The sequence below is a fragment of the Homo sapiens genome, chromosome 7 (assembly GCF_000001405.40).
Source record: "Homo sapiens chromosome 7, GRCh38.p14 Primary Assembly".
In the NCBI taxonomy this organism is placed as follows: Eukaryota; Metazoa; Chordata; class Mammalia; order Primates; family Hominidae; genus Homo; species Homo sapiens.
In genome coordinates this window covers 26,483,110-26,505,096 of record NC_000007.14, presented here as the reverse complement: position 1 = coordinate 26,505,096, position 21,987 = coordinate 26,483,110, and the positions used below count along the sequence as shown (strand labels likewise).

Sequence of the window (21,987 nt, the reverse complement as noted above, 5' to 3'; positions counted from 1 at the left end):
GGTTAAATACCCAAGGTTTGTTGTCTCACGCCAAGGGAATCGAGGATGCAGACACACAAGAAGTGAGTTTAAGAGCAGAGGTTTAATAGGCGAAAGAAAGAGAAAAGAGAAAAGCTCTCTCTCCTGCAGAGACAGGAGGCACCTGAGTGGGTCTTCCGGTTTTGTGGTAAAATGCACAGGGTTTTATAGATGAGCTTGAGGAGGCAGTGTCTGATTTACACAGGGCTCAAGAGATTGGTCAGACCAAGTGTGACACTTGCGTAGTGCACGAAGAGGCCAGCCATCCCACCCTAATCTTTTATTATACAGATGGGGTCTCTACCTGGCTGGTGCCATGTTGCCTGCTCCTTACTGTACACTTGGTTGACAAAGAAAAGGGAAGCTAGAGCCACCATGTTGAACATTCCTGGCCCCCAGGTAGCCTTTTCCTATTGGCAGAGCTGCCAGCATTTACTGGTGCAAGCTTCCAGCTTGCTTATCTATGTCTGCAGCTTGAGGTTACAGGCTGCTCTTTGTTAGAAAAGAAATGATTTGAGGGCTGCTAGTCATTAAAAGGAAAACATTACTGAGGACTTCCTAACCCTTTCTATCTGCCTAAACAATTTCTTTTTAACTTCTATATCACTATCTCTACCAAAAAAAAAAAAAAAGACAAAAAAAATGAGAGATCCCAACATCCCACCATCCAATAGTTTGGGGATACAAATGCTATTCAGCAAATATCATCTGAGCTTCTACTATATTTACGACATTATGCTAGGGGGTACAAAGGTCAATCAAAAGCACAATCTCATCCTGACACGACCCCACAATTTAGGCACCTTAGAAAGGTCTAACCAATGAAACTCAAAGACATCTGCTTAGAGGCTTTAATTGAAACAGAGGAAGCAGACGAGACTATTGGAAGAAAGACTATACAAAATAGGAAATAAGAGAAAAACACCCAGAAGTGAACTTCTGCAGAGACCTAAATCTGTGGGGCAGAGGAAGTGGCAAAGATGTCCTAGAAAAGGAGAAAGGGAAAAGGGTGACAGCACAAAATCCCAGGAAGTACAGGGTGACACAGGAAAGAAACATGTCCATAGTGTCCAGAGCAACAGAGACGATGATCCAGGAGAAAAGGCCGGGGACGCAGCTACAGGGAGGGCGCTGACAGCCCTCAGGCAACAGTGTTGGGAAAAGGCGACCAGCAGCTGGCCCAAGGTCAAGGAGACAGGTAGCTGGTGATAGTACTCTTTTAAAACGTTTACTAATGAAAGGAAGGAGGGGTTGAGGTCGGTAAGGTGATTGGGGAGCAGGCCTAAGGCATGTGTTTTGAAGGAAGGGGCGATCCAAACATGCTTGCAGGTCCCGGAAAGGAGAGCTGGAAGATCCAAGGGGAGCATGCGTTCCTGATAGAGCGAGACTTTAGGGCAGCAGGAGGGACCAAGGGCACAGGGAGATGAACTCACAATGGAAGTAGAGAGATTCTTCAGAGACAGGAGCTCAGAACAGGCAAAGAGCTGGAGATGGAGAAGAGGATGCGAAGGAACTTACAGCGGGTGCCCTTGACTTTGCCATAATTTCAAAAATGATCTCCAAAAGAGTGATTGTCCTGTCACCATCATGTGGGGACTGCCCTAAAACGATCGTCTTCTGAAAGATGCTAAAGGAAATGGGGAAAGAGTCACTATATCCATTTTTCATCAAGCTAATTTTCATCTTTTTCTTTCTCATTGGTTATCTTAAAAATTACATTTGTCGTTGCAGTTGATTTCATTCCTCACCCTTCCCGCCCTTAGGACTGTCTTATAACCTTTACCTTCAGGATTTGCTTCCTATCATTACCATCAGCTCCAGAGCCCGCAGGGGCTGGTTATCCAGTCTGAAGATCACCTGGGTCTTTCTCTTCCTATCCCTGACTCCCTGCACCTTAGCCATTCCACTGCTCAGCCTTCCCTCCACCAGAGATGCGCAGTGGAAGCACAAAAAGCTAAAACTAAAACTAGTCCATTTCATTACTTATTTGGGCATCTACCCAAGTATTTTGAAGCTATTAGCTCAAATGAGCTTGGGGGTCCACAGTTATTTCATTCTCCCTGAACGGAACCACCACCCATGATTACTCCTAGTCAGAAAGACAGAAATGTCTAGGTGAGAAAAGAAGACATGCCGAGTGCCAGTCCCACTGGCAGAGGTCTAAATGAATATACCTCTTGCTTTTGACCATCTCCTTGCCCTTTACTCTGCATCTCACTTTCTCATCAGGGATGCCTAATTTGAAATTCCAGATGCAGCATTTTCAGGTTGGAAGCACTAAGCGTTGGTGTTGCCAATATTAACGGATCAGTGGTTCTTGCGGTCCCTGAAATGTGATTCTCAGAGTATTCATTGGCATTATGGTTAGGACAGCCTCTGATGCTTCAGATTCTCCCTGTCTCATTGACAGTGGAGCACAGGACATGATCTAATGGTGCCTGTTTTCTGTGACTTCTCACTCAACTTTGAGAGGTGTGTATTTTTAAAAGGTTCCAATAGGTTGTGATATTGTACTATAGGTTTGTGAGATGTTACCACTGGGGGAAGGTGAGTAAAAAGTATACGGGATATCTCTGTATTATTTCTTACAACTCTATATACATTTATAAGTACCTCAAAATAAAAAGTGTAATTTTAAAAGTCTCCTGGCGAAGGTAGAAATGAAGTGTTATTGTTCTCAATGCGTATAGAACTTCTATTTGGAACGATGAAAACATTCTGGAGAGCTGTTGTACAATAATGTGAATATACTTAACACTGCTGAACTACACTCAAAAACGGCTGAGATGATCAATTTTATGCTATGTGTTTTTTATTACAGTTAAAATTTTTAAAAATATATTTTTAAGGCTTCAAGGTCTTGCTATGAGAAGAACAACTAAACCTAACAATGATTTTTCATATACTCAACACAGCCACTAAAATGGCTACAATTTAAAAGACTGACCACACCAAATGTTGGCAAGGATGTGAAGGAAGTGGAACTCCCATATGCTGCTGGTGAGATATACAACCACTGTGGAAAACAGCTTGGCAATTTCTTATAAAATTATACATACACTTACAATATGATCCAGAAATTCCACTTGCAGGTATTTATTCAGGAGAAATGAAAACATATGTCTGCAAATAAGACTTGAACTTGGCACCTTTATTCAAAACAGCCCCAAACTGGAAATAGCCCAAATGTTCAACTGGTCAATGGATAAACAAATGATGATATATACAATGAAATACCACAGTGCGATACAATGCTAAAAACTACTGATAAATACAACATGAATGAATTTCGAAAACATTATGCTAAGTGAAAAAAATTTAGACATAGGAGCATATATTGTGCAATTCCATGTATTTGAAATCTGAACACAGACAACACTCGTCTATATGACGGGGAGCAGACCTGTGGTTGCCTGGGGCATGGGGAATCAAGAGTGGGGACTGACTACAAAAATCACAAAGGAACTTTTTGGGTTGATAGAAATATTTGATATCCTGATTGCGATAGTGATGGTTACTTAGGTGTATGTGTCTGTATATGCATTAGTCTGTTTTCATACTGCTATAAAGAACTGTCCGAGACTGGGTAATTTATAAAGGAAAGAGGTTTAATTGACTCACAGTTCCGCAGGACTGGGGAGGCCTCAGGAAACTTTCAATCGTGTAAGAAAGCGAAGGGGAAGCAAGACCCCTTCTTCACATGGTGGCAGGAAGGAAAATTAACGCAGGAAGAACTAGTAAACACATAAACCATCAGATCTCGTGAGAACTCACTCACTATCACGAGAACAACATCGGGGAAACTGCCCCCATGATTCAATTACTTCCACCTGGTCTCTCTCTTGACACGTGGGGATTATGATGATTATGGGGATTATAATTCAAGATGAGATTTTGGGTGGGGACACAGCCAAGCCATATCAGTATGTTTTATTTTTTTTTAATTATACCTCAGTCAAATTGATTGAGAAGAAAGAGAAGTCTCCAAGAGTCTCTAACCGATCAGAAAAATAAAATAAAGCCTAGCTAAGATTTTTTTATTCTCAATAGTTTAACTTCTTAAATGCATCTTCAAAAATTATCAGGTACCTGAGTCAACAGACTGTCTTAGATCTGCCAGTAGAGGGAACTCTTTCTCAAATCTCAAGGGGCCCAGAATAGCCAAAACATCCAGAAAAATGAAGAACAAAGTTGAAGGTCTCACACTTCCTGATTTCAAAACTTGCTATAAAGCTACCGTAATCAAAACAGAGTGGTCCTGGCATAAAGACAGACTCATAGACCAATGAAATCAGAAATAAACCTTAATATATAGGGTCAAATGATTTTCAACTAGGATGCCAAGACCACTCAATGGAGAAAAGACAGTCTTTTTTTCAATAAATAGTGCTGGGAAAACTGGATATCCACATGCAAAAGGATGAAGTTGTACCATTACCTTACATCATAAACAAAAATTAACTCAAAGTCATCAATGACCTAAACATAAGAGCTAAAACTATAAAACTCTTAGAAGAAAGGGGCAAAATTTCATGACATTGAATTTTGCAATGATTTCTTGGAATTAACACCAAAACACAGGCAATACAAGAAAAAATAGGTAAACTAGACTTCATCAAAATTAAAATATTTTGTGCATGAAAGGACATAGTCAAGGCAACACACAGAATAGGAAAAAAAATCAAATTATCTATTTGGTAAAGGATTAATATCCAGAATAAAGAACTCCCACAACCCAGCAACAACCTCCATTTAAAAATGGGCAAAGAACAATGGTTCCCAGAGGCTAAGGGGAAGCGGGAATGAGGAGTTATTGTTTAATGAGTAGAGTTTCAGTTTGGGATGACGAAGAAGGCTGGAGGTGGATGGTGTTGATGGTTGCATGACAGTGTGAATGTATTCAATGCCACAATGTATTCAACGCCACTTACACTTAAAAATAGTAAAATAGTAAATTTTATGTTACATATATTTTACCACAGTAAAAAACCTAAAAAAAATAAAATTAATTAGAAACATGAAACAGAGTACTTATTATGTGCCACTTTTCACATATTACTTGAGTTGATCCTCTCAACAATCCTATGAAGCAGTCACTTTTATCATCATCCCCATTTTATGGATGAGAAATGGAGGCTCAGAGAGGTCAAGTGCTTTGCCTTTGGAAATGAAGACAACGAGTGGTAGAGCCCAGAAAGTCAGGCTCCGGGCTCAGTCCCTGTAACCTGTACCCCACACATCTTCCTTGCTGGCTAGCAGATGATGAACATGACCTGTGTTTGGGTGGGGTGAGGCAAATCAAGGAGAGGCTGGGACCAGGCCTCCTCCCAGCCACTGGCCTTAATTGCAGGCTTTTGACTCAGCACTTATGCCGAACAGATCAGGTGTGCCCTGTGCCAGGGCCTTCTGACTTTTACTGCTGGTGGCAGAGCATGTGAAAGAGGTGTAGCCCCAGACACCTTCACTGTCAACACAAAGGGACTCATGGTCGGCCTCCCTAATGGGAAGGAAGAGGTTTCTTTAAACATTCTCCAAGAAAAGGCCTGAGGGATCATGTGCCCTTCCAAGATGTCTGGTGATTACCTGATCCCTCATTCAGCTACAAATCCATTGAAGTTTAAAGAAAAATGTAATAAGTAATTCTGTAGGGTGAATCATTCACTAAAATACCTGCACAATCTGGATTTGGGGAAAATTCTTGGATTGGAGATTTGAAAATGTTAATGTTTTACCAATGTGTATGGTGGTTTTCCATATATTATTTATTATTAGTATCCTGGTTTTTGATATAATAGTATATTGAATTAATCAGTATTAATTCACAGTATTATGCCTTTAATATATTAATATATTTTTATTTTCTGTAATCTTTCTCTCTTTCTGGCTGTAAAAGAGAATAGTGTCAACACAAGGGCTCTATATTATTAATTTTTTTTTTTTTGAGATGAAGTCTGGTTCTGTCACCTAGGCTGGAGTGCAGTGGCATGATCTGGGCTCAAAGCAACCTCCACCTCTCAGGTTCAAGTGATTCTCTTGCCTCAGCCTCCCGAGCAGCTGGGATTACAGGCACCCACCACCATGCCTGGCTAATTTTTTGTATTTTTAGTAGAGATGGGGTTTCACCATGTTTGTCAGGGCGTTCTCAAACTCCTGACCTCAAGGGATCCACCCGCCTTGGCCTCTCAAAGTGCTGGGATTACAGGTGTGAGCCACTGTGCCCAGTATTATTAATATTTATTGAGAGCTTACTACATGCAAGCTCTTTACATGTATTAGTTCATTCTCACACCACCATTTTTACCTAACCTCTATGTGTTTATGAGAAAACACATAGAGCCTAAATAACCTATCCAATATCAAGCAGCAAGTATGGGGACAGCTGAGGGTCCCACCCTGCTGTCTGGTCCAGATCCTTGCTGTAAGCCAGCCTCATGACCTCAGGACATCCCCTCTTCACTCTTTGGGGCCCCTTTTCCTTATCTGTGAAATGAGAGAATTGGATCAGACATGTAAGATTTTCTTCCAGCTCAAATATGTCTATTTCCTTATTTCTGCACGCAAATGATCCTCCACCAGGCCCTCCCAGGTGTATCCACCAGCACTCCCCTGCTGGATTCTGGGTGCCATCCACGCCATGGACCTGGGAAAGAGAGTTGGGCCTGGCTGAAACTGACCGTGCCCCAGAGCAGGGGCCTGAATTGCAGGCCTTTGACTCAGCACTCGCTTACGCCGGACAGATCACGTGTCCTGGTGCTAGGTCCTTCTCCCGACTTTTACTGCTGGTGGCAGAGCACTTGAAAGAGTGCTATCATTCTTTTGTCTGCCCCAAACAGCCTTTACTCTTCAACTGCACTCACCCCTCTACCTACCTAAATATTTCAACTGTCTTAACAAAATCTACCCACCCTCTGAAATGACCCAATTAAAGAAAGCAACGGATAAAATACTCAAGTTGATATTCTCATTACACTTCCCTCTTTCATCTCCTGGAATCACAGAATTTCTTCTCACTTGTGAATTTCCTAACAAGTCTAGGCAGTGGTGTGCTGGTAAATGTTTAACACTTAGTTCCCGGGAAAAAAGAAAGCTCTCTAATATGAATCATTTTCTCAGTTATTTAGTTTAAATATTCCCACCATGGCTGATGTCAAGCTACCAAGGCAAAGTCACTGAACACAAAGTTGAAAAGAGACGCAAGTAGGAGCTGGTGCCAGCATACCACTGAGTCTGTTTCATAGAATTACGTCCTCTGAAAGCCTATAGCCTAAAGCATTGCTCATTCATTTGTTCTTTAATTCATTCAATGAACTTCTTAAAAATAATAGGAATTGAACTGATACTTATTAAAATAGTTATTACAAATCAAAAGCCCTATTGGGCTTATTAGAAAGCATTATTTTTCCAGTACTTCCCCCAGAGGTTCCTTAGAACAAGAGAGGTGGAAGGGTGGTTCTTCTACTTTCAAATAATTGACTTACCCAAATTAGATGAGATTATTTTCTTCTCTTGGATTAGCAATTCTCATTAACATCCTAAACATTGGGGAAGGTGACATCAGAATATTCTGCTTTGACTGATATAAAGTCCAACCTGCTTTATTGTTGAAAGTTTACAAACCCAATGCAAAAAAACAGTCACTTCTGGAAAATGCTTACCTAGACATATGCTTGCTATAATTCTTTTTCTCTACATTGTTATATTCAAGATAGATGTGGTATGTGAAGAGTATGAACTCTGGAGCCTGAATGCCTGGATTCTAATCACAGTTCCACCACTTAGTAGCTATGTGATCTTGGGCAAATTACTTAACCTCTCCATGTTTCAGTTTTCTCACTATAAAACAGGATTCATAATAACAGTAGTAGCTGTTGTGAGAGCTGAGTAAATATACATACATATATTTGTATGTTTGTATATAGCATATAGAAAATTCCATGTAACTGTTAGCAGTTATGTGTCATCAGACATGATCAGCGTTTCTCAAATGTTGTCTAGGCATCTTTCTAACAAGACGGTGCAGTCCTTGAAGTCTTTCTGCAGTCCCTCCACAGTGCCTAGCGTATAGCATGACTTTAGTAAATTCCTATTGAATAAATAAAGTAATTAATTTATTAAATGCAACTGATCAATGCAAAACATCCTTGCCACAAAATATCCTTGCCACAAAAAATAAACCATCTGCTCTGTTATCAGGATCTTAGGCACACTTTATGTCTCCATAACCCCTCCAAATGTAGGGAAGGTGATCAAGAATAAGGGCATGGCTGGGCACAGCGGCTCACGCCTGTAATCCCAGCACTTTGGGAGGCTGAGATGGGTGGATCTCTTGAAGCCAGGAGTTCAACACCAGCCTGGTCAACATGGTGAAACCCCATCTCTACCAAAAAATACAAAAATTAGCCAGGCATGGTGGTGCACGCCTGTGGTCCCACTACTCGGGAGGCTGAGGAACAAAAATCTCTTGAACCCGGGAGGCAGAGATCATGCCATTGTATTCCAGCCTGGGTGACAGAGTGAGACCCTGTCTCAAAAAAAAAAAAAAAAAAAGAAAGAAAGAAAGAAAAAGAATAAGGGCATGGAGTAATTTTCAGAGCTGTTAACATGTATTTATGTTCAAGAATGTTTATTTTATATAAGCAAGAAAAAATGAAAGCAACCTAAATGTTCATCAACAAGGAAAAGGTAATAAATTTTGATGTAACCATTAGATATTTATGTTTTCAGGAAGTATTTATTAACATGAAAAAAGTCCTAATTGTAATAAGTGAAAAAGCAGCATTTAGAGTTGTATAAACAATATAATACCAGTGTCCATTCTTTAAAAATGTGTTTGCATGAAGACAGAAATAAAGAGACTTACAATAAATATACCACAATCATTAATAGCTGTCTCTGGTTGGTGGGATTTTGGGTCATTTTTAAATTTTTTTTCTTCTTGATATATTTCTGTATTTTCTAGTTTTCCCTAAAATGATAAACAGAAAAGAATTGCTGTTAAGTAAAGGAATTGCTGTTAAAATAGAGACACTAATTCCAACTTTGGAATTACGTATCCACCCTGTCTGATGTTATTCACTGCCACCCATCCCCATCCCATTCCCAACCTCCCAAAGTGTCCCAAATCTGACATGATGGCATAATCTATGCATTGCAAATATGACACCATCATCCAGCTATTTGGAGACATTAATAATTACCTTAATTTTTCACACTCTTTCAGGTATCTGGCATTGGGTAAATACAGTTAACCTCACGTAGACATATTTTCAGCTATTAAAAACCAAGCACATTTGTGTTAGCTCCTGCCCTTGAGGTGCCTGATACAAGGGAAGCATGATTGAATACCTCACTGATAAGGCTGAACAAATATGTCCTTTGAAAGAGGCTATAGGAAAAGCCCAGATTAGAGATGTGTGATGCACATTAAAGTCTAGCTAAATTTGGGTAAAAGGTGGGTCTCGATTTAATGAAGTGCTCATTCTAGAATATTGGCTTTAAAAAGACCATTTCTATTACTTTCAAATCCAATGGGCTTGAAGTGCAATATTCTCTAAACGGAGGTAGCAAGTGCACAACAGGCCCCCGCTTTTAGGAATAGGTGAGAATTATTTATAACGAGCCGATCAGTCAGCTATGATTTGGTCCCTCTGATGCATTTAAGAACAAATTATTCAAGATAATGAAAAAAGCAACTAATTCCCTTAAGTGGTGCAATTTTTTGCAATCTTATTTTTATTCTTAATTTGTGTACCTACACCATTCCTCAAGGCAATCTCAGGCCAAAGCCTATCTAAAGCATCATAAATTTCAAACAACTGAGCTACATCAATAGGGTTTTATAGGACATCTTAAAGAAAACGAAGAAAAGGCATCACTTACCTAAATGTAGCTGGAGAAATGCACAGAAGTTATTTCTGTCTAGGCTCCCTTGCTATGGATGGAGGAACCAGACAGTCCTATTTTCATTCACGAGGAGCATCTCAAAACCTGGGCACATCATGGGATGCAATCAGCCCCAAGGAAGAGGAAACAGGAGAGCAGCTTGGCAGCCCCTGAAATACTTTAGGAGAAGAAATTATTAATACCAAGGAATATTTTACCATGGACCAAATTGTGTTCCCTCTGTTGGTGAGTCAATGATTTCTTGGAACTAATTTATTTACATTACGTTTGTTAATTGCCCCATTTACCTATTGGGCATTATTCTTCATGGCACATGTCACTAACATATATATTTGACTTCATTATTTTTATTTTATCTGTCTCCCCCAGTCCGAATGCAATCCCCTTGAAGGAATGGGTTTTTCTTTTTTTTCATTTTGGTTTTTGTTGGATGCATTTAGAATATGCCAGTACATTGGAGATGGACAACAGATATTTGTTGAATGAATCAAGCTCCCTTATACTCAAGGGGCATGTGTCTATGGTGAAGTAGAAAGAGCACTGGATTCAGAGTCCAAAGTAAGGAGCACTTTGCTTGGCTCACAGTAGACAATTGATGACCATTTGGGGAGTGGACAAATGGGTGGATGGACGGATGGACAGATGCGTGAATGGATGAGTGGGCAATGGAGCAATGTTATAATGGTAATTCTCTATCTATAAAATAAGTATAACAACTCATTAATAAAACTGAAAACAGTTGTGACTTCTTAGTTGCTCAGTAACTCCTTTTTTTTTTCTTGTAGCTGATGTAGAGAAAGAAAAAACAGGGTGATGAAAATCCTAGCAGTGTAAAACAAGGAAAGAAAGCATTTAATCTGCGTAAATGAGAGGAGATAGGAATGTGGGTAGAAGTATCTGTTTTCACTCTGCCTTGTAGTGCTGCCAAGCCACGACAGTGTTTGAGCGGAGGCTGCAAGAGGCAGGGAAGTGGAGCAGGTGGATGGGCCGCTGGCTTCCAAGGAAAACCAGCCTTCAGTTTCACTCAGTGGCCTCCTTGAACTGAGAGGCATTAGAGGGTCAGGCAGGGTAATGACAGCCCTCCATAGTCATTGTGGTCTTGGGGGTCTCAGCTCTGGTCATTAAATCTCAGGGGTAGTCCAGCCCGGGGTTCTTGTTCTTAATGTTGCTCTTCCTGCCACAGGAGACAAAGCCTTCGCTGAGCAGGCTGCCTTGCTGGGTCCTTGCAGAGCTTCCAGACTTGCAGTGTGGGTGGTGGCTAGCTCTGGCGTCTTCTGAGTGCAGCAGCATCTTCTTTGGGGTGGGCCAGGATGTCTCTGAGCATATCCACTTCAGATCCAGATAGCTGGGGTTGCTGGTGCTCTTGGAGACATCTCTGGTACTGGGAAGCAGAGGGGAAGGGAGATCATTATTAACCAGAGTGGGAGCGGGTGCCCTGGCGACCCATCTGTCTTGGTTGGCCACCCCTCTTCCTAGAGATGGTGTCCTAAGAGAACAAGCTAGAGTGAAAGAGCAGAAGAGAACCACAGGCCAGCAGTGGGGTGGGCCTGGGCCCTTTCAATAGAAACAACAGGTTTGCAAGGTGTCCCAGGGCCTGGAGACGCAGTCCCTGCTGAGGAACTCTGAAATACCCATTGGTAGCACACTGGGGTAACCTGGCTAAGAATGGAGTTTTTTCCCTACTGTCGTTGCCTCAGGCCTGTACCTAAAGTGCCCCAGAGCTGTGCCTAATGCTGAGATGTGCTTAAGAAAATCCCCTTGTTTGGGGCCCTTGGCCCATGCTTCCTTATTAACTGGTTCAAGAAGCAAACTCTCTTCCTACCCATAAGAGACCGGCAGACTCCCCTGGGCACCAGCCATCAGTACTGTGCATGTGGATTGCTCTAAATATCCATTGCTGCAGGGCCTGCAGGAGGCCAGACTGCAGGCAACCTTGAAAACCAAGCCCTGGCATAGGGGCTGCCGGGAAACCCCAAATATGCCTTTTTCCCAGAGCTCAGCTAACACAAGCTCTCCTGTGTTTGGAGGTGACATTCCTGCTTCTGTCCATAGGAATGGTAAGGCTGCACAGATGTCCTAAAATACAGAAAGGATGAGAGAACAGCACTGAGCTTGGCGGGTTTCCCACCCGTAATTGACATGGAAACTATACCTCTTAATCTCCAACAGGCAAAACAACTCCTGCTGCCATGTGCAAGATCTGTGGCTCCAGCTGTAATTACTTCCTCCATGCCTTTTTATTGTTGTTGTCCCAAGAAACAGTTCGTGGAAATGAATGTGCCACCCTAACTTCCACAGAGTCACCTCCATTGCTGAGTGTCTTAGGTGCTCAAATCTTGACCCCTGGGAGCAGAGGCCAGCACCATGGTAAACCAGACAAGGTAAATGGAGGGAAGGAATGAATTGAGGAAGAGATCTGGAAACTGCTTTCAAGGGAAGTCTGAGTATAGTTTCATGCCTAACTAAACCCATTCTTCTGTCAGTGCTGCTGAAACCCAGAAAAAGACGAGAAGGCCAACAGCAGGTTCCAGGGAGAGGCAGCTGGGGCTAACCTGAGCTCGGGGCAGGGGTGAGGGAGGCTCTTGACCACATCACTGGGTACCCCCTACCCCGTAAGAGGACACGGACCCATGTGCTAGACTCAACTGTGGGAGTTTTGCGTTCCAGCTACCAATGGGGAATGGACCCAGGTCTCTCTGATGGTGTGGGTGATCATGTGGCCCCCTCATTCTCCCCTTCCCACTGCTCACTCTGGGGTTCAGTAGAAGTAGTATATGGAGGTTACCCTATCACAAGCTCAGCCACGCTTCTCTCCAACCTCACACGCAGCCCACCCCACCAGGATCCAAGCTGGCTGGGTCGCATAACACTAGCCACCATTCACTGATGTGATCCAAATGCCTAGAACAATCCCTGGCACATAGCAGGTGCTTAATAAGTAGTCGCTGTATACGTGTACCTATTGAACTCTTCCTATGCGCCCGACACTATGCTGAAAGCTTTACAATTATTATTCCATTTATTTTTCACAAGAATCTTGTGAGGTAAATATCAACTCATTTTCAGATGAGGAAATCAAAGCTCGGAGATGTTGAACAAATTATTCAAGGTCCCACTGTCTGGTGTAACAGGAAGTTAAACCTGTCTCCCACCCTCCTCACTGCCATCTCCAAAAGCTGAGCTCCTAAACACAGTATTTTTCTGCTTTTCTCTCCCATTATTCGAGGCCAGAAGCAGGAACCAGAACACGCAAAGGAAAGAGGGACAGAAAGTGAGCTGGATTTTCACACCCCCAGCCCTGGCGATGGGCTCTTGGAGCTGGGCCAGGTGCCTGGAGGAGGCAAGTCCCCTGCAAGTCTCCAGCTAAGTGGCCCATCGCCTTGAGATTCTACCCATCAAGATGCTCCCCTCCCTCCTCTCTGACTCTTGGCCACATCTTTCAGAATAGGGTCTGGAGGGATGGTGCATAGAAGTACAATTTCGAAGTATAGTTGTTAGGTGAGGATAATGTCACGGATCACACCTCATCATTTCATTTACAGGTTTCTTTGTTTATCCAAGATGGGTGCGTACAGCTGCCCTTAAAGCTGGGTCACTAAGTCCTTTACTATGAATAATCTCACTGTGTGTGGGGGGGGTGTGTGTCTGCGTGTGTGTGCATGTTCCTTCAGAGTAGCTTAGCTGAATCCACCTGGAATTATGCCAGCAGAGCTTTTAAACATATTTCTCTGTGGAGCAAGTTGCTTTAGCATATATAGCAGGTGACACCTATGGGTGGGAATGTTCTACAAGGAGAAAACGCTGCACCTCCTGGTACTTTTCCACTGTGAGGCTCTAAGAAATCAAGCCCCTCTTCGGTCTCAGAAAACCTACTCATGAGCCAGTCTGTGGGCGTTAATGGGCTGGATAATCCCAAAAAAGCATATGGTTCAGGAGGGAACTGGAAATGGAGCATTCCCAGAAGCCACTCGGTTTATCAGTATCATTCAGTCAGCCAGATGGCCTGAGGGAGCATCTTATGAGAGGTGTGGAAAGTATGAAATTGCAGCAGACCCTGCCCTCCCTGTCCTGTCATCCAGTTAGGGAGATGCCCTGTGCATATCCAGTGAGCCGCCCAGGCAGGGATAGGTGTCAAATAAACACCACAGGCCATGAGGACTAGGAGTGCTCAGGGACTAGAGAGGCTCTCCAAGGGCTAGGCTTTCTGGAAAAGCTTAGGGAATAGGTGGAAAACACCCAATGCCTTGCGGGATGGCTCAGAGAGGTGGAGAAGGGAGGAGCCTCAGGAGAGGTGGGGACACTTTGTACATGTATGACAGGAGCACACTCGTCCCAGCCCAGTGACTGAGGCTCAGATTCGGCAGACTCAGCAGGGCAGCTGTTGGGCATGCAGCCATTCCTGCTTGCTCCTCCATGGCATGGTGCACCCAGAGCTGCCTCACAGGCTGCTGAGTTATGTCTTTTAAGCCAACACTTGGCTTCTGCCCTGAGCTAAGCTTCTGACTGGCTTTGTGAAGGATTACCATGGTATTTCCAATCCTTCACACAGCATCTTTGTGATCCAAACCAAAAGTGCTTTTGGCTCAAGTCTCGCAGGTTCCCAAACCCACCCATCACTAGTATTCTTACTTTCTTCTCTGAGCATCTCAAATTTGCATTTTCTTTTCTGTGTCATTCGCTACTGCCTCACCCCAGGCACTATCCCCTGCAGGGCTCACCACATTTAGATTACTATGGCCTCTCCCACTGCCCCAGCTGGTCTTCATAAGAAACTCATTCACTAAAAGATTTGAAAATGTGCACACCTTTTGACCCATTAATTCCATTTTTCAAAATTTATCGATGACTAACTTATCTTTTCTACTCATTCTTTTGTTTGTTCATTCAGTGTGAACCAGGAGACTTTCTAAGTGCCAGGGCTACACAATGATGAACAAGCCAGAAACTCCAGGCCCTGACAGAGCTTATAGTCTAGGTCATTTGTTTGTTTTTCCCCTCAATACACACACATACATATATATATATATATGCGCCCTTGGGCAAGACACATCTGTCGTGCTCTGAGAGATAGTATGCGGTCACTGTGTCATACCATAAAATAAAAGCCCATTGACCACACCGCAGACACAAAATGACAGTTGCAGAGGGAATAAGAAGGAAAACTGTTTCAGGTTAGGTTTTCAAACAGTGTGCCACACCCCAAGAGCCTCAGGGGTGGGCTGGAACTGGGTGGGATGTGGGCACTGGCAGAAAGAGGAAGGGACACTTCATTTGTGTATCACCTGCGGGACTCTCCTGTTCTCAGCACCCCCCTGCCCCACCTCTCCAACCAAGCAGTTCTTCATCATTTTCTCCATGGCACTCAGGGGCTTCTTAGTAAGATCTATTACTATTTGAACAGAATGTTCTGTGACTGAAAAAGTTTGAAACCACTAGTTGTCTCAAGGTTCTTAAAGTGCTTCTATATTTAGTCTGGAAATCTTCCAGACTAGAAGATTTCCAGCCCCCTGCTGCCCCAATTCCCTTTAAATTCTCTAGCTTTTTATGTTTCATTAATGGGCTTTAGTGATATCTGATACATGTTGGGTGTGTAATTCATGGGCAATAATATATGGACATGGACATGATAAGTAACAAAATCTCATCAACCGTGCAAACATGCTAGACACTCAAAGTCCTCAAACAATTCTGCTCAATATTTAGCAGAGGGAAAAACTAGCTTAGTTAGGAACACAACAAAAACAGCAAAAATGTTAGCAGTTTTAACAATTTGACATGCAGCCTAGATGGTGTTATTTGGCATTTTATATACTATTTGCTAAGTTTCCACAATGTGCTAGATAGCAAACTCTCTGCTCTGATTCTGGAGCCAATAGATTTTATAACCACACTTTCATCATTCACATACCACCATTGTGATTTTTTTAACTGAAGGCCACTTGTACTACTATATATTTAATTTAAGCAATTATTTTGTATTTAAATAAATTTATTTTAAAAGAAACCTTTTTATCACTACCTATACATAGAAGACCAAAAACATTTGCCATAATAGAAGGTAACTGTAACAAATTCACAACGATGAAAACAGTAATTTTTTTGTGTAGCATTTACTATCCCCTTTGGTTTCACCAGGGATATGGGCACTGCATTTTGGGAAACATTGTTTGAGCTCATACCATCACAGTATTCAGCTAAGAAATTAAAAACAGGTGTTGTTTGTCTTTGTCCCCGCCACCTCATCCTACAAACCCCCTGCTCCCGCACACCCACATCCCCGCTCCCCTCTAAGCATTCCCTTGCTCTAAGCTAGCCCACAACCAGTCATTGATAAGGTATTAAACTATCACCTTATCATTTTTGCATATGGATAACAGACGAATTTTTCAAAACTCAAATATCAGATCTTTATTGGAATTTTGGATATAATGCAAGAGAATTATATCATTTAATTCAAAGCACATACAACAGGTGATCGACTAACCACTCCTACTCATAAACCAGTCCTCATGCCTCTCCACAGGCTCATTTTTAGATTTCCCCCAAAACACAGAAATTTGCCCAAGAATGGATTAAAGCCTTCAGGGTCAGACAGATAATGGTATTTTCAGATTGTGATGACACTCTAGAAAAAAAAAATATGGCTCAACCATTTCATTAGCCTATACCTTATTGTAACCACATCTATAGCTACCTTCTTCCCCCAACCCACCCAGGAGAGCAGGAGGGGGAACTGGTCATGGAGACTGGAGATTGAATTTACATCAGTGGTGTGGTTGTCACGCATTGTTCTCTCTTACATTCTGAAAGTCTTTCCTCCCTGGCTGTTCATTATGAAATCCTCCACCCAAGGGACTTTGGGAGCATTGTGGCATGTCAGATTTTCCAGGAAGCAGACTCTGAAATAAGATTGTGTCCAGGGGGCCTATTGGAGAGTTGTCCAATAGGAACCACACCTGTGAGTGAATGCGGGCAGCAGCCTTGGGCTGCAGGAGAGGCTGAACTGGGCTGCAGTCACAGCAGAGGCCTCAGCTGGCCACACAGGGGTTGGGATGGCCCCTAGAACTGGCCCAACTGAGGCAAGGGGGTCCAGCCTTTGTATCCCCCACAGTGGCCAGTCATTGAATGCAAGATACCCCCAGGAGAGGTCATATCCTTGAGCAAGGCAGCCCTCTTTGGCCAAAGGCCAAGAGCTTCCACTGTAAGCCACCAGCAGGCAGTGCTCCTGGTAGCCGAGGGAATGATGCTTTGGTCCTGAAGGAGAATCTGGGTAGAGCCCCACAGCATCCACTGCAAGAGTAAACCCACTAGCGCCTGGCTCCCGGGACCCTCCAAGTAGTGGCAACATCAATAAACCATAGGGCCTGATTTCTAGGCAGCACCTCACAGTGATAAATGATGGATCAGTAGGCCTGCTGGCTGCAAGAGAAGCTGAGAGGCAGGTAGTGTTGGTGTGTATGTGGGGGTAGGGCAAGGGAGCAGAACACCCCTCGTGGACCTTGATATTGTGCTCTACCTTTCCGCATTCATCCCTCCTCCCCTGAAAAAGTCCTGGGCAGGAAACAAATGTGGTCCTGATGCCTATTGGGCCATCAATCTTGAGATACAGCATTCAATTTCAAAGTTATTTGACCAAAGCCAAGTTACAAATCTTGAAGGAAGCTGGCTTTGCAGAGAGACAAGGGCATTTGAAAGCATGAACTGGGGTGAACCTTATAAGCAAAAATCTCAGAAGTCCTTGGTTGCCAACAGTTAGCCAAGCACTTGCTGGACTTACTTTGTTTCCTGGGCCTATGGAAATTTTACCTACAGGTAGAATTGCCCATGCAAAAGCCCGAGAAGTAACCCTGGGGGAGAAGAGTGGCTCACACTGCAGATTTCCTCCCTGGTCTTCTTTCTTCCCCTAAAGCCAGACCATGCAAGAGAGTGATAAAGCCAAGTTCACGGCTTGTCTCCATTCATTTTGTTCTTTTTGGGAAACGGGGAGGAGCCTGGAGCATTTCTCCTTCCACATTTCCTTAAATGGGTCTGACTCAGGTAGAGAGGAGACCACCATCATTGTGTAGTAAGACAGGGGTGGGAGTGACGGGGCTTCCATAGTTACCATTTGCTGAATGCTTAGTGTGCTCGGCACCATGCTGGGTCTGCATGTATCTTCTTATTTAATCCTTACCAGCACCCGCAGAGGTAGATCAGATTATTCTCTTTTTCCCTAGATGAATCAAAGATCAAAGAAATCAAGTAATGTGCCACAAACTCACAGGCAACCACCTACTGAAAGGCAAAATTGGGACTGAAACCCAGGTCTGCCTGGCTCCAGCCCATTTCTGTTGATGGTTAAGAAGCCCCTCCCAGCACTTTAGGAGGCCAAGGCAGGTGATCACCTGAGGTCAGGAGTTTGAGACTAGCCTGGCCAACATGATGACACCCCGTCTCTACCAAAAAATACAAAAATCAGTCAGGTGTGGTGGCGCACACCTATAGTCCCAGCTACTGGGGAGGCTGAGGTGGGAAAATCTCTTGAACCCGGGAGGCAGAGGTTGCAATGAGCCTGGGTAACAGAATGAGAACCTTTCTCCAAAAAAAAAAAAAGAAGCTGCTGTTCTCCCAGGGCCATGGTGCCACACTGCAGTTGTCTTTTCACGTAAATAGGACATTTAATGGCAACTTTTGGTGCACCCGGAATTCTGTTCATCTCCACGCCCAGCTCAGATCCCCTGGGCTGAGTTTGCCTCAAGGGGCTTCTCTGCATCTCCTCAACTTGCCCAGTCACCCACTGCAGTGTCCTCAGCACACCAAGAAACCTGACAGTGTCACTCACTGACTGACAGGCTGATGCACAAGCGGTGCTGAAAGATAAATCAGCCAAGAAGAGAGCCGGCCCGTATCTTCACAAACCGGCAGCATGTCATTCCAAATCAAATGCTTGTATGTACCCTGTTGGTTCGCTGGGCCCAAACCTCCTATACTTGCTCTGAAAATCTGGATCACCATTGGGTTGTGTTATGCCAATCATTTATTTAAAACAACACAAAACAAAACTTTTCTGAACTCAGGGAGAAAATGCCACTGGTAATTAAGCCTGAGATGATAATTTAATTCCTATGACAGACGAGGCTCTTCATCCTGGTGGAGGCATGCTGGCCCATGTAGACCCGGGTGCAAGTGGTCATACCTGTTTATGTATTGCTTGTCCTTCTCCATATTTCACAGATGATAGTATACAGCTCTGCATCTCTTCATGTTAATTCCATTTGAAATACTCCCACCAACATCTTAGGGCTCTGCCATCTAATAAGTGCAGCCAATTTATTGATAGTAAATCTAGGGCAAGACAGACTCACATTGATGTGGGCCACAGGGCATTTAAATTAAACAGGAACTCTCCAGCCATCTGTGTTTTAACTTTTTTATGCCTTGATAATAAGCCCTGTTTAGAATAATTTGCTGTGGAAACTGGGACTTCGTGACTGACAGAGAAAGGCCGGGGATAAACAACCCAAGCAGGCCCCTGAATTTGCGAGAATGTCAGGCGAATTTAGACTCATCATAAAAGAATTCTCAGTGACTGTATTTCAATATGACACTTTTATGGTTTTTTATTTTCTAGCCCATTGCAGCCCCAGAGCCCTGGCATGATTTATATAGCCTGGCAGTGCATAATCTTTTGTATAAGATATACAGGCCTCCGGAGGTTTAATTTCTTTCCTCACCGCCACTGACAGCATTTGTGCTTCCCTTCTCTTCTATTTTCATTTCTAATGAGATATTGGACTTTGCTCAGTGAGAGGTGATATTTCCACATTTGCAGCCTGACAGGCTAAATCACCAGATCTCAGTGGTGAGGATACAAACCCATTTAAACTGTGTCAAAATATTCATGGAGCCCCATTGATTTGGGCAGCGGTTATTAGGAAGCTATTTGGAAAGTTCAGGTTTAATTTTTGGAGCTTTCTGCTGCAAAATCACTCAGTTACATCACAGAGAAAATGGTATCAAAAGGATAAAGAAGAGCGGGGGTGTGGTGTGTTGCATTTATTTTGTTGCGATTATTTTTAGTACACAGATGAACTTTGTTAAAAACAACAACAACAAAAAAAGAGAAATCCCAGAACGATGCAGTGGTAAATATACAGCATGAAGCAAAGTAAATTCTTCCTATTGCATATAAATGAATAATATGTCAAGCTATTGAAATGTTTTTTTAAAAAAGCAACAGTGAAAGCATCTGACATAGGAGATTAATGCTTTGCATTGCTACACTGACTTTTACCTCTGCCTTTGATCTTAAATCTAGCTGAAACTATTGAGACAGGAGTTTAGCTTCTAAGTGGGATGGGTTCAAAAAGCACTGTTCACTTAGTGTTCAGAAGTGTCACAGAGGAAAAATCCCATGAACAAGGGAGGCAAACGTGGCTCTCCCTGGGAGGGGTTGTCAGGTTAGAAATGCAACAAATGGTCAATGGAGGGAATTTAGGAGCTCCTAGCAGAACTCAGGAAATACATATGGCTGAAGGAACCTTTGATATGGGGTCATCGGAACAAAGTATTGGGATATCTTTGGACACTGCAAAAGATCTAAGTTCTTTGACGGGACCAAGCACATTTGACCTTCATATGGTAAGGTCATTTGCAATAGTTGCTTGATTTATGACCTGGGACTTCATATGAATTTTATATTTACTAGGGTTTCCGAGTTCACAGGGACCTCATTAAATGATACACACAACATACATACACACACAGGGAAACTGCTTTGCCAATTTATGGGCGATAAAGTGTTTTCTGTACCACTTTACAATAAGTGGACATTAATGAATGCTAAATTACAGTGGAATTCCTATGGAACGGCATATTACATTCACATTAATACCAAATGAGTTCATTGTGAGACACATTATGGCAGCAAATATCATAGGAATCAGTGAGGAATAGGAAATACCACTGCAATTAGACCCGTATGGGGAGAAGCAGCCACCCATCCAGATGGTGGGCTACTCACACACCGACACTTTCTGGCCTGGCTTGAGTGAACACTTGGGTGCCAGGGTGCCAAGGAGGCTTGCAGAGCCCTCTGGGAACACAATATTTCTATACTAACACACTTGAGAACGTCTCATAACCCAAGATCCACAAAATCCCCAAGGACTGAGGCAGTGTGAGTCCTCTAATCTGGGAAATGCACTCAAACACAGTGAGAAAATCAGAGCAGATATAAATTGGAAATTCCTGGAAGTAAAATTTTTTAAACAGTGGAACAAGCCACTTGAGGAGCGTTCCAGAGCCTCCTTCTCTTGGGTGTTTTAAGGACAACCTTGGCACGCAACAGGCTTCCTTCTGAGCCCCTCTTTCTCCAACGCCTGAGGACTTGACCTCCGTGAAAGAAGCCAGGAAAATTCCCAGCACAGGCACCATTAAGCCGTCTCCAGAACAGCAGAACCCTGTAGCAACTCCAGAAAAGTCCCCAATGTACTGGTGACACAAACAGCCTCAAAAAAAAAAAAAAAAAAAAAAAAAGCCCAAATATCCCCTTGGGGTAGGCTCGTATACACGTATACCAAAATATAATCCCAAACATTATCCATGACCAGGATTCCAGGGGCCATGAGAAAAGAAAAGTCTACATGGTTGCCAAAGCTCATTCAGTCACAGAAGCGGGCACAGCCAGCGCCAGCCCTCCTTTGGGCATCCTAGCTCTGCTACAGACTTGTCTGCTTATTTAACCTCTCTAAGCCTCGATTTTCTTAAATGTAAAATGAGGTTGATAATATGGCTTCACAAGGTTGATTGTGAGGTTTAAACAAAATACTATGTGTATAGTATGCAGCACAGTCGCTGGCACCAGACAAGGAAATGAGCTAGTTATGTGACTAGTATCACCTCCCCTGCACCTTCTCATCTTTCTTGTCTCTCCTTCTTCATTCCAGCTGCAGTCTTCACCATGCTCCAACACACTGGCACTGCATACCGAACACAAGGTGACTTTCAAAGACTGCACCATAAATAGAAAAGATGGCTGAGGGATGGAGAGCCAGGCTCAGCTATCATCCCAAATGTAAACAAGCA

At 43.1% G+C, this 21,987-nt stretch overlaps 1 long non-coding RNA gene across 6 annotated transcripts in view, besides 1 other annotated feature; it reads right to left on the bottom strand.

The window, feature by feature from the left end:
• The window catches only part of LINC02981 (long intergenic non-protein coding RNA 2981), a 142,382-nt gene that overhangs the window by 35,854 nt on the left and 84,541 nt on the right, over window positions 1-21,987 (bottom strand). For 4 of the 6 annotated variants that reach the window (NR_148499.1, NR_148501.1, NR_148502.1 and 1 more), the window contains 3 exons: window positions 10,834-11,302; window positions 9,898-10,078; window positions 8,879-8,983 (listed from right to left, as the gene is read on the bottom strand). This is a non-coding gene — a long non-coding RNA (long intergenic non-protein coding RNA 2981). Of the gene's footprint in view, window positions 1-3,148; window positions 8,102-8,878; window positions 8,984-9,215; window positions 9,289-9,897; window positions 10,079-10,833; window positions 11,303-21,987 lie in introns of those variants that run through there. The other 2 variants (NR_148504.1, NR_148503.1) reach the window with 2 other exon arrangements.
• Window positions 19,081-20,055: an enhancer, noted in NCBI's record as "VISTA enhancer hs769". NCBI's record gives its function as "enhancer in: neural tube[5/7]" and the evidence as "EXISTENCE:transgenic organism evidence [ECO:0001131][PMID:17130149]".